Below are 15731 nucleotides of genomic sequence, written 5' to 3' on the forward strand. Positions count from 1 at the left end.
TGACTTCAGACTGCTGCGCTAGCAGCAAGAATTGCAAGCCAGTGGTTCTTAGCTTGCTGGACTTCATGACAGTGGGACCCACTGAGCGAGACCACTTGGCTCCCTGGCTTCAGTTCCCTTTCCAGGGGAGTGAACGGTTCTGTCTTGCTGGCATTCCAGGTGCCACTGGAGTATAAAAATAAAATAAAACTCCTGCAGCTAGCTTAGTGTCTGCCCAAAGAGCTGCCCAGTTTTGTGCTTGAAACCCAAAGCCCTGGCGCTATAGGCACATGATGGAATCTCCTGGTCTGTGGATTGCAAACCCCATGCAAAAAGTGTAGTATCTGGGCTGGATAACACAGTCCCTCAGCTTCCCTTGGCTGCAGGAGGGAGGCCCCTGGCTCCTTGCGCTTCCCGGGTGAGGCTATGCCTCACTCTGCTTCTTTCTGCTAGCCCTCTGTGGGCTGCACCCACTGCCTAACCAGCCCCATGAGATGAAGAGGGTACCTCAGTTGGAAATGCAGAAATCACCCACCTTCTATGTTGGTCTGCTGGAAGCTGCAGACCGGAGCTCTTCCTATTTGGCCATCTTGCCAGATCCTCCAAAATGCAACACTCTTTATGTCTTTCTTTTTATATTCATCATCATAAGTGCAAGTCTGTTTAATTAGATTACCAGCTTTGTAAGAATGTCAATCAAGTCTTATATTTCTATTTTGCTGAATTACTAATGCTCTCTTAAACTCTCAATGCATGTCTAAGTCTTTTTTACTTTTCAAATCCATTGTAAAATATAGAAAATGTAAAAAATGATAAGAAATTAAGATGAGTAACACTATAAACTCTCTTCATTACATGTTGAAAACCTCTGAGTAATCATACAGGGTCATTGGTGCTGGTTTTCAAAGCCATGTTTATTGGAAAGTGAGACCACTGAGGGTTTCAACATGTTATTTGGGACTCAGAATTCACTTAGAAGAGATTAAACTGTCTGTAAGAATCTACGTGCCAAAGCTACAGTCAGCTACAATTCATCAAATACTTGAGTCAATGAGCTTCTGATGAATGATAATGAGAATACTGGATGAAGAACCATCCCATCTAAATCAAATATCAAACTCTACTCTCAGCTTCACACACATATCGAATGATATGTTTCTATTCAATTCCAAGATACAACTAAACATTCACATCTTAGTTCTGTCATCTTTAATGGATCATGATAAAGATAATGGATTTTCCAGTGCAGTTTTGTAATAGCATGGAGCACAAGCACAAGACCTGTCTTTATTAGACACAGAGGATTCGTTCACCCAGTTTTATCTGAAACAATGGAAGGATAGCAATGCCTTACTACAATGCCGTTTAACTTATTAGAGCTGACTCATGGCAGCTGTCCTCGCTCCAGGCCAATTAGGTAGGTCAGATACTCAGAATCTGAAGTGTTAGTAAGAAGAAAAGACAAAAGCAGAAACAACAGTTTGCATTAAAATCAAACTATTTTTGAAGTCCAAGTGGCTCCAGAGGAAACAGTTGAGGTAAGATAATGGGGGTAGAAGGTTTCCTAGAGGCCAGTGGTCACCTTAAAACAAAGCTTCAGTCTGACAACCCTTCAGGGGCTGTGGGGTCCACAATTCTGCCTAACTTTTTAGACCCACACAGCTGAATTCTAGGTGTGATTTTAGAATTTACACCCTGAGTGTTGTACATACAAAAGGAAAATGTTTGATGTGGCTATGAGTTGAAAACACAAGGAACACTTTTCTCCTCCTAGGCCCTGTGTTTCTCTGCCAACTCAGCACTGACACCACCTTGGAGTCAGACCAAGAGATCTGGTGTCTCAGAGGCTGGTGGGTCACACCTACCGCAATCCCCCCATCACCAAGTCTCAGGGAACCAGCACTCCCAGCTCATCCATGCACAGGTTCTGCTGGGTTAGAAAAAACAAGTCTATTTACCTCCCAGTCCAGAAACTTGCTCATCAGACTCCACTAAAACTGCAGTCTCCAAGGACAAAAACTTCAGAAGACACAAGTTAATTTCTGAAGAAAGGGAAAAGCTTCCTGAGGGCTGCTTTGACCTCCTTGTTTCTCAAAGTATAGATGAGGGGGTTGAGGGTAGGACTCAGCACAGTGTACAGCAGGCCAGCCAACTTGCTCTTCCCTGCGCTGTAGCCAGAGACCGGGCTTATGTAGGCGTAGAAGACAGCGGTGTAATACATGCACACCACGGTGAGGTGGGAAGAGCAGGTGGAGAAGGCTTTCTGCCTCCCCCAGGCAGTCTTCACCTTCAGGATGCTGGAGACGATGAAGCCATAGGACGCGATGGTCATCAGGAAGTTCACTATGCCGTAGAAAGCATCCGCCAGGACAATCATGACACCGTTGACGTAGGTGGAGCTGCAGGAGAGAAGCAGCAGGGGAGGGACCTCGCAGAAGAAATGGATAATGACATTGGGGCCACAGAAATCCAAGCGCAGCATCAGCCCCGTGTGGATGGCCGTGTTGACGGCGCAGAGCAGCCACACGGCTGTGGCCAGCCCGCTGCAGAACACCTTGCTCATCATGCTGCTGTAATGCAGCGGGTGGCAGATGGCTGCGTACCGGTCATAGGCCATGACCGTGAGGAGCAGCAGCTCTGAGGATGCAGCCCACGTGAGGAAATAGAGCTGGGCCATGCAGCCCCCGTAGGAGATGGAGCTCTCTTCCGACACCAGACTGGCCAGCGCCTTGGGCATGATGGAAGAGGTGCAGATAATGTCCATAGTAGCCAAGTTGAGTAAGAAAAAGTACATAGGAGCGTGGAGCCCAGGGTTGAACGTGATGGCCAAGGTGATGAGGACATTACCTGTGAGGGCCCCAGAGTAGAGGAAGAGGAAACAGCTGAATAAGAACACCCGGTATTCTGGGTGCTCCGAAAAGCCCTGCAGGATGAACTCGGTTACCAACGTCTGGTTACTCATCATCCTTGGGCTGGGACGGGTTTCTGGGACTATCAGGTGACTCTCCATCCACAGCTTCATGTGATTTCAGAGCTAGAGAGATAAACAAGAGGTGTCCTGAGGAAGGCTGCTCCCGTGTTTCTTCCACACCTCACATCACTGCATGAAAGATAGAGATGCATTAGGGCATATTGATTAAGATAAACACCCCAATATTACAGTAGAAAAAAGGCGTGAACACTCAGTTTATAAAAAATAAATACAGTTGGCCAGTTAAACTCATGAAGCATCATTCAACCTCAAACAAATGCAAATTAAATCCATGATCTAGTCTTCATCATCCATGATCTGGCAAAGTTAGAAAAGCATGATATTAACTAGCATTAGAATGGCTGCAAAGATGCAGGCCTTTTAAAATATGTATTCCATTTGAGCCGGAACTTCCTCTTCCAGAAATGTATCCTAAGGAATAATAAAAAGCATCCTGAAGGTGTCAGAGCAGCACTATTTATAATAGTGGAAATTTAAAACAATCTATACCCTTAAACGTGAGTATATTATGGTAAATTGATATAAATGCTGTCTAATTATCAAAGTAATGCTTTGGAAGTGTTTTACTGATGCTTTTAAAAGGAGAATGACACTTTGGGAGGCCGAGGCAGGCAGATCACTTGAAGCCAGGAATTCAAGACCAGCCTGTCCAAAATGGTGAAACCCCATTCTCTACTAAAAATACAAAAATTAACCTGACACGGTGGTGGTGGATGTCTGTAATCCCAGCTACTTGGAAGGCTGAGGCAGGAGAATCGCTTGAACCTGGGAGGCAAGGTTTCGGTGAGCTGAGACCACGATGCTGCACTCTAGCCTGGGCGACAGAGTGAGACTGTCTCAAAAAAAATTGTTTTAATTTTAAAAAAAGGAAAGAATGAAAAAAAATTTAAAATAATGTGTACAATAGGATCTCATTTTTAAAAAAAAAATTAAAAAAGCAGATTTGTTTCCACTGATATTGAGGATAGTGAAAAATTTAAAATAAAAATAAAATGTAAAAGCATGTTTGTATATGCACCTGTAGGAAAAACACTGGTGAGTGCTAGACCAGAGCTTGAACAGTGATTGTTTTCACTTTTTAAATTTTTGCTGGTCTGTATTTTCTACTTTTTCTATAAAATGACCTCTCTAAAAGGCAGATGTATCACACAGAATCCTCCTTACAACAGTTCTTCCATGGCTTCCCATTGCCAAAAGAATAAATGCTCCCAGCAACTTTTCCTGGATCCACCTCCTCTCCAGCCTTTCTTCCCACTCATCTTAAAGCCAGAACTCCAGCCATGCCCTGCACTCACAGACTGGCTGATGCACCAAGCCATTCCAGGATTTCTTGGTTTTGTTCTTCCCACTCCCTGAGCCAGGAATGCCCTTTTTCTCATGAACCAGGGACATAATCAGCCCCCTCTTTCTGAGCATCCCTTCCCTGGGGAGAAAGTACCACTCTTTCCTTTGTGTTTCCTCTGATACTGACTTCTATCCTAGTACACAATACACGTCACTCCTTGATCAGGTTACTGGACTGTGCCCTAAAAGATTAACACATATGCCCGTTTATCTCTGGACATCCCTTCTTGGCACCCAGCCCCCTGCCTAGCAGGCAGTGTGTAGACACTCAAATATGTGTGTTTAAATAATGCTAAAGAATAGGCTAGTATGAATAACAGCAGAATGACTTATATTCTTAAGTTACTGCACATTCTGTACAGCTCAAGATAAAATCAGCATAGTGCACATTTGGTTTTTCCCTTTCAACTCTTTATTCATTAAAAGTTAAGGAAGAGGCTGGGCGTGGTGACTCACGCCTGTAATCCCAGCACTTTGGGAGGCCGTGGAGGGTGGATCAGAAGGTCAGGAGATCGAGACCTTCCTGGCTAACACGGTGAAACCCCGTCTCTACTAAAAATACAAAAATTAGCCGGGCGTGGTGGCGGGCGCCTGTAGTCCTAGCTACTCTGGAGGCTGAGGCAGGAGAATGGCGTGAACCCGGGAGGCGGAGCTTGCAGTGAGCCGAGATCGCGCCACTGCACTCCAGCCTGGGTGACAGAGCGAGACTCCGTCTCAAAAAAAAAAAAAAAAGTTAACGAAGATATTCATTTTAAAAATGAACATTTGGAAGATGTTTGTTTTAAAAATGAACATTTGGAAGATGTCCATTTTAAATATGTTCATTTTAATTATGTTTTTGTCAAGATTCAAGAAATGTATTTACCACTAAAATATTAAAAGGTTTACACAAAATGACCAAACATCATCTCCAGCTCAGGTCATATCACCTTTTAATAAGGTAAAAACTGTTTTTTGAATAGGCAAGCATAAAATCCCTATGACTCAGAGCAATAAGGCTATATTAGCGTGGGGTATGATCAGAATCAATGGAAATGATGGTGTTCCATCTGTGTATCTTCCCAGCAACAAGGTGTCAGAACAGCTCAATAACTTGAGTGGAAGTAATAAATACAATATGCTTTAGCTGATTTCATTATTGTTTGGGACAAAAAGAGTGAATAATTACTTTCGCTGAGTTTGAGTTGTGGATCTGAAGAAATAACTGTAACTTTATTTGCTCTTATGATGGCCCAGTGAGTGACTCCTCTTTAACTCCAGGGACAGAATTGGATTTTCTCCATCAATGTCCCAGTGTGAGGTTTCTGCACTTCCGACTCATGTCCTCCTCCCTAGAATTCTAGCCACCAGATTTCTCCAGCCATCATGAAATCATGGTGCACTCCACAGTGCATATTACAAACGCACCAGAGTCAGCACAGCTGCAGCTGTACCTGGGAGATGGAAAACGCATCCATCACTGAACACCTACCAAGCAGCAGTGTGCAGAGTCTGTCACGCATCCTTCCTGGAGCAAGAAAACCTATTACGAAGGAAACCTTAAACACAATCTCTCTCTTAGCTCCACAATGAGATTAGAAAAACAATAGCTCTGCAATACAAATGGATGTTTTGAACAGGTGCTGAGCACAAGGAAATTTCCACAAATGTATTCACATTCAAGGAGCAAATTAGCCCTCAGGTAATTACCCACTTATTGTGATTGGGTGGGGACAGGAGGACAGTCTTCTCAATCAACTGGTCAATAATGAGATCAAAGAATCGGGGCTCCAATCCTCTTTCCATGAGAATGACCACAAGATTTCTTTACAGCCTCAGCCAGTCATTTCTTCTGAAAAATAACAAAGACCTTGCTCCCTTGAGTTTCATAGGGCATTTGCTTCAATTCTCAGCCAGCATTACAAGAGTATTACTAAGGGTATGAGGCAAAATAACACAATTTCAGGTAATAAATGGCAAGTTTAAACACATACTGCATTCAGACAACACGATGACATCTCACCAGCAGGCCAACAGGATATTCGAACAGCGGTTATTTTCCACATTTATCAAACCCTTGGGCACTCAAGCTTCTGAAGGGGGAAAAAAGGCATCTTGGATTACATTTATCACTTTAAAGAAATAACAATAATAGTCCTCAAAATCTCTGAAATTAAAAAGGTAATTTCATTGAGTATTTTCTAAAGACAAATTATATTTTACATAAAATACAATTTACTTGTAGTGAGATTATATCTTTGTTCCAATTTATTGTTCATAGTTTCATAAACAGAAAATTTAAAAGATTTAATTAATAATGGAGAACTTGACTCATTTCATTATTTTTATCTCTAAAGCTGTTCAATGATTTTCACAGACACCATATTAATCTAATGTCCTTTTATTGTATATGAAGGTAGGCATTTCTATTGTAGACATGCTTCAAGAACAGAAAACTAAAAATCAGAACATGCCAGAATCGCATATGTTCAGGGTCAAATCTGAAAGACATTTTGAAGATAACTTTGTCCAACCTATTGATTTGGAAAGTCATAAATGTATCTAAATAACTTACCCTGGTCACACAGAGTATTAGTGACACAGCTAGTATCTAGGCTCAAGGCTGTGGGACTACAGTCCAGAATTCATTGCTGTGTAATTTGTTGGTTGCCTCCATAAATCCAGCCCCATCAAATGTCAAAGAAAAGCCATGAAAAAGAAAAATCAACCAATAATTTATACAAACGTATTTAAGGCTGGGGTGTGGAATGTAAACCCTAAACTCTCAGCCACATTTGGCATCCCACTTACCCTGTTGTTTTGTTACTGATCAAATGGTAATAACACATATTCAAATGTTACTGACTCTGGATCAACTCAACAAAAACCATTAAGTCTTTTATATAAGCAAATTAAGCAGACAGAGTTATGAGTAGAACTTTTCCCATTTTTTAAATGTCACTCAATCACCATCCTCAGAACAATCATAATTACCTTAAAAAAAATGATTTCACCTTTGTAGAGTGAACAGACTTTATGTATAGCTGTCCTCTCTCTGCCAAGCACAACTGAGGGTAGAAACATGGTGACATTGAGGCAGTGTGCAACCTGTGATAAGATCAGTCTGAACAGGACTGTTCAGGACTGAACAAGGTTTCCTTCCCATATTTAAGATGGCCTTGCCAAGAATTTGTGACTTATCTTTAGCAACATTTGTCACTGCCTGTGGGAGACACTAGGGAGAGCTGTTCACAACTATTACTCTAAGTGGACCCTGAAGGAGCAATTAAATTAAGTGCTTCTTTACTGGGGACTTGCCTGTCATTGGGGTTCACAGAAAGGCCAATTCAGATTTCTAATCCAAATGTGTAGAAAAGGGTGTGGGCCCAAGTGGGGGAGGAGGGACAGCAGGACACATTCTCTGTCCCAGCTCACAGAATCTGGGTCAGGGCAGACCCAGGCTCAGGTGCTCAGAACGTGTCCACACCTGGGGACTGGAGAAAGACTGTCAGGCAGGCAAGTAGCATTTCTGGACTGCTATCCATGGAAGGCGAGGCATGGAGCAAATGTTTCCATGCTTCTCTGTATAAACCACTCTTTCTAACAGAGCTGGCCTCTCCCTGTCCCTCATAAACAGCTTGGATCTTATTTATCCCTGCTTGATCTCATTTCATCCAAATCCCACCCAGATCTAACTCTATCTCCCCTACCAAACCTTCCCTGACTCCCTGGAAGGAAAGGACCACTCTGTCTGCTGAGTCTCTGTCCCATTCAGGGGTTCTCCACCAGGCTCTGGAGGCAATAACATGGGCTTCAGAGTCTTTCCAGACCTGGGGTAAAATCTCTGAAAGTTACTGGTCATGTGACTTTGGGTGACTGCGCTTAACCTCTCCAGGACTCATTTATAATAATGAAAAGCCTTATCGCCTTATCACAGTACCTAATACAGGAAAGGGGATTGGCAATATTTTATTTCCCTTCTCCCAATTCAGGATGTACGTAGATGTATGTTTTTTCTTCCATATTAGTTAGCAAGCAGAGAGCTGACTAAATATCGATGGGTTTACTATTAAAACGCACTTCAAACAGTTCTAATTTTACTAAGCAGCACTAAACTAAACAGTTCATTAATGGCTTTGAGACTTTACTCTGTTTCTTAAATAGCTGCAGAAACTTGTATAAGTCCGTAGTCTCTCTGAATCCCAATTTTTCAATATATAGAATGGGAATAATTATACCTACCTTCAGAATTTTTGCGGGGACTAAATAAGATGACGTACATGAATCCATTTTAGAAACCATGTTAGTTGTCATTATGAATGGGTCATCTATAGAAATAATTATTCCAAAAAATTCTGCCTTGGCAGTATTAAGCCCAAGCAGATTACCTTTATTTCAACAAAATAAAAGATCCATGAACAAGGAATTCCCTTCCTGTGATGTTAATAATATGCTACCATTCAGGAATAAATGTGTGTTAGGTTAAAAGCTAAACTGTTAACATGAAGAGACCTAAATATATAGTGGCTTCATTTTTTCTCTTTTGCTCAACAATCTGAAGATATACATAAGTTGTGGGGTAGCTTCCAGACTGATGGGGCAGTCTTGCTCCACTAAGTCATTAAAGGATTTAGGTTCCTCTCAAATCAATGATTCTTGATCTCCTACGTGATGATTCTCTTTACCATAAAAGTTGCCATAACCTCTACATTTTAGTTGTAAAAAGGGACAATATAGAAAGCTCAAATAATACAATTTATTTTAAGCAAGTGAGGCAGATATTGTGCACATAACTTCTGCTCATATTTTACAGGCAAAAGTTTAGTTACATTGCTTCACCTAGCTGCCAGGGAAGCTGGGAAATGTGGTCAAGCTGGAAAGATACATGTACAGGAAAAAGGGAGAATGGATTTTTGGAAAAAAACTAATAATTGCCACAAATATGCAAGAGAACTAGAGATAAGGAACTTAGGAATAAAAGACTGGAAGTAAGAATGAATTGTATATGTTACTCCCGAGAACTGAGATTCGAGGAAGAAAAAAAGGATGATTATATACTTACACAAGAAAGAGGGCGGAAGTGAAAAGAAGAGGGTGAAAGAGGTAAACAGGCAATGAACAGTATTAAAAGTTAAAAGAGAAAATCAAGGACATGAATTAAAGAGTTATAATATCCTTACAAGGTATCCAGAAAGAGTCAAAAGTGGTGGAACCCTGAAAAATTATGCAGAACCCCAAAAGTTCCCATTTGATGGAGAAAAATGCTTTGTAGAGTTGTGGAATGACTGACTGAAAGAGAGTAGGATCTGTGCTGCGAGATGACTTGCTGGCCAAGGAAATGCTTGGAAACTTGGAAAAACTTAGGGATCTGGAGAATGTCATGAGGAGTCCTGCCTGGGCAATACCACTGCTCAATTTTTCCAGGCCTATCCCCTAACCTCAGCAAGGACCAGCTATAAAACAATCCTTTTAAAACTTTTTAGTTATTTCTATCACCCAGCCATAGCCTTGGGTGCATTTCATATTTCTCAAGACATTCGCCTTCAACTTTCCCAACATATTATCTTGGGCTTGCATCTTACATGATTAAAAAGAGAAATACCATTGTATCAGAGCTCCTCAACTTAATTACTTCCCATCTCAATCTTTCTACATCTTTAACTTCAGTCTTGGTTGAGCTCCACCCTCTGTGCTTGTTCTTGAGAAACAAGCAAAAGAGCTAAGAAAGGCTTAGAGCAAACTGGTAAACATTGTTATTTTCTTTTAGGTATCCATATTGCGACAGGGTCTTGATATAATATCCATACTAGGTATAATTTGCATACCAGATATTCAAAGAAGTAGGAGAATATGGCCATAGTGAGAAAAATAAAATCAACTCAGAAATGACAAAAATAAGAGAACTAGTAGAGACATTAAAATAGTAGTGATACAAAGAGAGGAACAATAAACACTGGGGCCTACTTGAAGTTGGAGGGTAGGAGAAGGGAGAGGAACAGAAAAACAACTATTGGGTACTAGGCTTAGTACCTGAGTGATGAAATAATAAACAAACTCCTGTGACACGAGTTTACCTACATAACAAACCTGCACATGTACCTCTGAACCTAAGGTAAAAGTTGTAATAAAATAAAATAGTTGTCATAACTATATTTCATATGCTCAAGAAGCTAGAGAAAAGACTTAGCATATCAAATAGAGACAAAGAAGATATAAAAAGATGAACAATTTCTAGAGATGAAAACTACAATGTCTGAAATTAATAATACATTGGATGAGATTAACAGTGGATTAGACATTGCAAAAAAATTAGCAAATTAGGGAAAAGTATAATAAACCTGCCCAAATGAAATAGAAGTGGAAAAATAAACATAAGAACTGTAAGTGAGCTGTAAGACAACCTCAAATAGCCTAATATACATATAATTAGACCCCATAAGGGCATGAGAAATGGGAGAAGAACAGAAAAAAATTTGAATGAATAATGGCTACAATTTTTCTAAATGTAATGAAAAATATAAACCTACAGACTTAATAAGCTCAATGAACCCCAAGCACAATAAATATGAAGAAACTCACACCAAGCCACATGATCAAAATCAATAATAAAAATAAAATCTTAAAAACAGGCAGAGTAAAAAGGCACATTAAGTACAAAGACACAAAGATAAGAATTACAGCAGAGTTTCTATACAATCAGTACAAGCAAGAAGACAGTAGAGAAACACTAAACAGTACTGAAAGAAAAAAACTGTCAATGTAGAATTTTACACTCACTAAAAATACCTTCTGAAAATGAAGAAAAAACATTTCACAAATATAAAAGTTAAAGGAATTCATCATCAGAAGATATGAACAAAAAAAAAATGTTAAAGAAAACCCAGAGACTCACAGTGAGACACACTATAATCAAACTCTCAAAAGTCAAAGACAAAGAGACAATCTTGAAAGCAGCAAAAGAAAGTAACTTGTCATGTAAAAGGAAGCCTTTATAAAATTATCAGTGGATTTATCAACAGAAACCTTGCAGGCCAGAAGGCAGGGGGATAATATATTCAAAGAGCTGAAAGAAAAGAAAATTTCAACCAAAAATATTATATCCAGCAAAACCATCCTTCAAACATAAAGGAAAAATCAGCCTTTCCAGGATGAACAAAAACTGGGGAGTTCATTACCACTGGACCTGCTGTAGTATCTTGCAAGTTGAAACAAAAGGATGCTAAATAGTAACATGAAGTCTTATGAAAATATAAAGCTCTCCAGTAAAGATAAATATATGGACATATATAGAGACTGTACTATGCAGTTTTGGTACATAAATGCACTTTTAATTCTTGTATAGAATTTACAAGACAAAAGCTTAAAAATAACTATAAAACTGTGTTAATGAATACATTACATATGAAGATGTAACTTGTGACATAAGTAACCTAAGGTGAGGGTAGGAGCTTTGAAGAAATAGTTTTTGTACACAGTCGAAGTTATTCTCTTAACAGTTTAAAATAGCTTGTTAACACTTTAAGATGTTTTTTATAATTCTTATGGTAACCATAAAAAAATCTATAGAATACACACAAAAGGAAACAGGAAGGGAATCAAAATGTCACCACAAAAAAAAATCGACAAAACCCAAAAGAGGTCAGTAAGAGAAGGAATAAAAAACAAAATTTACAAAACATACAGGAAACAACAAAATGGCAAGTGTAGGTCCTTCCCTATCAGTAATTACTTTAAATGTAAATGGATTAAACTCCTGAATCAAAAGATATAGACTGGAAAATGGATTTGTAAAAAGGATCCAACTTTATCCTGTCATTTAGGTCTAAGAAACAAATATGCTTAAAATGAAAAAAAGGAAAAGTAAATGCCATGCAAATGGTAAATAAAAGCAAGCAGAAGTGACTATACTACTATCCAACAAAATAGACTTAAAGTCAAAAATAGTCACAAGACAAAAAAATGGATATTATATAACAAAAAGTCAATTCAGCAGAAAGATATAACAATTACAAATATATATACCTCTAATACCAGAGCTCCTAAATATCTGAAGCAAACATTGACAGATCAGAGAGGAAACATAAACAGCATAATAATGGTAGGCGACTTCAATTCCTCACTTACAATAATGGCTAGAACAACAAGACAGAAAATCGATAAGGAAATACAGTACTTGAACAACACTATAAATAGTGCTAACAAACATGTGCAGAACATTCCACCCAATAAAATCAGAATAGTATTTTTCTCAAGTTTACATGGAATATTCCCAAAGATAAATCACATGTTATACCACAAAAAAACTTGTAACAAATTTTAAAAGATTGAAATTATACAAAATATCTATTTTGATGAAAATGACATAAAACTAGACATCAGTAGCAGAAGGAAAACAAAAAATTCACAAATATGTGAAAATTAAACAACACAGTTTTCAACAAGCAATGGGTCAAAAAAGAAATCACAAGGGAAGTTAGAAAATATCTTGAGATAAAGGAAAATAAAAATACAATGTACCAAAATGTGTAAGATGCAGCAGAAGCAGTGCTAACAGAGAATTTTATAGCTATAAATATGTGCATTATAAAAGGAAGAAAGTGGCTAGGCATGGTGGGTCATGCCTGCAATCCCAGCACTTTGACAGGCTGAGGGAGGAGAACTTCTGGAGGCCAGGAATTTGAGACCAGCCTGGGCAACAAAGCAAGACCCCATCTCCACAACTTAAGAAAAAAAAAAAAAGAAGTAGAAGAAAGTTTGCAAATCAACAACCTAACTTTATACCTCAGGAAACTAGGAGAGAAAAAAAACTACACCCAAAGCTAGCAGAAGGAGGAAAATCCTAAAGATTAGATTAAATCAGAGATAAATGAAATATAGAATATAAAAACAATAGAAAAAAATCAACAAAACTAAGAGGTGGTTTTTGAAAACACCAACAAAATTAACAAATGCTTAGCTAGATTAACTAAGGAAAAAAGATTCAACTAATAAATCAGAAATAAAAAAGAGAACATTAGAACCCATGCCATAGAAATCAAAAGGATTATAAGAAAATACCATCAACAGTTAATTATATGTCAACAAATTGGATAATTTAGAAGTGCATAAATTTCTAGAAATATACAACCTAATAAGAGTGAATCATGAAGAAGTAGAAAAAACGAACAGACTTATAACTACGAAGGAGATTAAACTGGTTCAAAAACCTCCAAACAAACAACAGCCCAGAACCGGATGACTACCAAACATTTAAGGAAGAATTAGAACCAATGTTTCTCAAAGTCATTTACAAAAATGAATATAAAAAACACTTCAAAGCTCATTATATGAGGCCAGTATTACCCTGATTTCAAAGTCAAACAAAGACATTACATGAAAAGAAAACTACAGACCAATATTTGTGATGATCAGGTTGGCTTTATTCCTGGAATGCAAGAATGATAGAACATGTGGCAGGGTGTGCTGGCTCATGCCTGTAATCCCAGCACTTTGGGAGGCTGAGACAGGAGAATCCCTTGAACCCAGGAGGCAAATGTTGCAGTGAGCTGAGGTCATGCCACTGCACTCCAGCCAGAATGACAGAATGAGATTTCATCTCAAAAAAAAAGAATAATACAACATGCAAAAATCAATGTAATACACTATAGTAATAGAATAAAGGACAAAACAGCATGATCATTTATATTGATGTAGAAAAAATGTTTAACAAAATTTAACACCTTTTATCACGAAAACACTCAGCAAACTAGGAATAGAAGGAAAATAACATAATAAAGGCCATATATGAAAAATCCACAGGTAAACTTACACTCAATGGTAAAAGATTCAAACTTTTCTTCTGGATTAGGAACAAGACAAGTATACTCTGTCTCTTCGCTTCTATTCAATATAGTATTTGAATTTCCAAGCAGACCAATTAGGAAAAAAAAATTAAGCAAGAAAAGACATCCAAAGAATAAAAGAAAAAAGTAAAATTATCTCTGCTCACAGATGACTTGATCCTATATGCATAAAATCCTAGACTCCTGCATAAAATCTAGAAAACTGTTAGATGCATATATGCATAAAATCCAGAAAACTGTTGGAACTATTAAACAAATTCTGGAAAGTTGCAGGATCCAAAATCGACACACAAAAATCAGTTGCCTTTCTATAAATTAACTATAAACAATCCAAAGGTAATTAAGAAAATAATTTAATTACAATACCATCAAAAATAGTAAAATACTTAGGAATAAACTTAGCCAGGGAAATAAAAGGCTTGTACACTGAAAACTACAAAACAGTACTGAAAGAAGTCACAAATAAATGTAAAGACATTGGTATTCATGGATTGGAAGATTTAATGTTAAGATCTCCAAAATATCAGATGTATTCCCCAAATCTGTACAACATTATGTATTAATTTGAAAAGTCAATAGAACCCAAAGCAGTCTACAAATTATATGTAATCCCTATCAAAATCTAAGCTGCATTTTTTGAAAAAAGAGAAAAATTTATCTAAATATTCATATATACTCTGACTAGACAATCTTGAAAACTAACTGAGTTGAAGGTCTCATGCTCCGTGATCTCAAAACATGTTACAAGACTACAGTAATTAAAACAGCATGACACTGGCTTAAAGAGAGACATATAGACCAATGGAATAGAATAAAGAACCCATTAAAAGAAAACTCCACATATATGGTCAAATAATATTTACAGCATTCCAGATCCGCTCAATGAGGGAAGAACATTCTCTTCAACAAACAGTGTTGGGAAACTTGGATATCCACACATGAAAGAGTGAAGTTGAAACTTTGTCTTATGCCATATACAAGAATTAACTCAAAATGGATTTAAAACTTAAATGGAAGATCTAAAACTATAAAACTCTTAGAATAAGGGGATATGGCAATTATTTTTTAATATGACACCAAAAGTACAGACAACAAAAGAAAAAATAGACAATTGGGACTACATCAAACTTTTTAAAACTTTTATGCATTAAAGGACATAACAATGTTAAAAAAAACTTGTGGATGGAAGAAAATATTAGTAAATTATATATCTGATAAAGAGTTAATATCCAGAATATATAAATAATTTCTACAACACAATATTTAAAAATAATATGATTTTAAAATGGCAAAAGGATTTGAATAGACATTTCTTTTAAAATTATATATGAATGGGCAAAAAACATAAGAAAAAATGCTCAGCATCCAAACTGGAAAGGAAATCATTAGAGAAATGTAAATCAAAACCACAATGTAATATCTCCTCACAAAAATTGAGTGGTTTACTATTAAGAAAAAGAAATATTAGATAGGATGCAGTTGATAGCAAACAGCTTAAAAGCAACGTGACCCCAGATACTAACTCAAAGCCACACAAAAAACAAAAAGCTCTGGCAAAGACATTTATTTATATTTTTATTTATGTATTTATTGAG

The 15731-nt window shown here is 37.8% G+C and overlaps 1 protein-coding gene across 5 annotated transcripts; it reads right to left on the reverse strand.

The window, feature by feature from the left end:
* Window positions 1–875: 875 nt before the first annotated feature.
* Window positions 876–14187, reverse strand: OR13A1 (olfactory receptor family 13 subfamily A member 1). Of its 5 annotated transcripts, none has more exons than XM_047425731.1 (4): window positions 6870–10241; window positions 6318–6387; window positions 6009–6146; window positions 876–3079 (listed from the first exon to the last, which is right to left on the reverse strand). In XM_047425731.1, the coding sequence occupies exon 4, from the start codon at window positions 2999–3001 to the stop codon at window positions 2015–2017; it is 987 nt and encodes a 328-aa protein (XP_047281687.1). In that variant the 5' UTR covers window positions 3002–3079; window positions 6009–6146; window positions 6318–6387; window positions 6870–10241; the 3' UTR covers window positions 876–2014. The 5 variants fall into 5 exon arrangements, with proteins under 5 accessions (XP_047281687.1, XP_047281686.1, XP_016872121.1 ...); XM_047425730.1 differs by having other exon boundaries at window positions 6005–6146; XM_017016632.3 differs by having other exon boundaries at window positions 6005–6146; window positions 6289–6387.
* Window positions 14188–15731: the final 1544 nt, after the last annotated feature.

The sequence above is a fragment of the Homo sapiens genome, chromosome 10, assembly GCF_000001405.40.
Source record: "Homo sapiens chromosome 10, GRCh38.p14 Primary Assembly".
In the NCBI taxonomy this organism is placed as follows: domain Eukaryota; kingdom Metazoa; phylum Chordata; class Mammalia; order Primates; family Hominidae; genus Homo; species Homo sapiens.

Coding starts and splice junctions, on each gene's coding strand:
- OR13A1 (XM_047425731.1), bottom strand. CDS start 3,001: ATGAAGCTGTGGATGGAGAGTCACCTGATAGTCCCAGAAACCCGTCCC.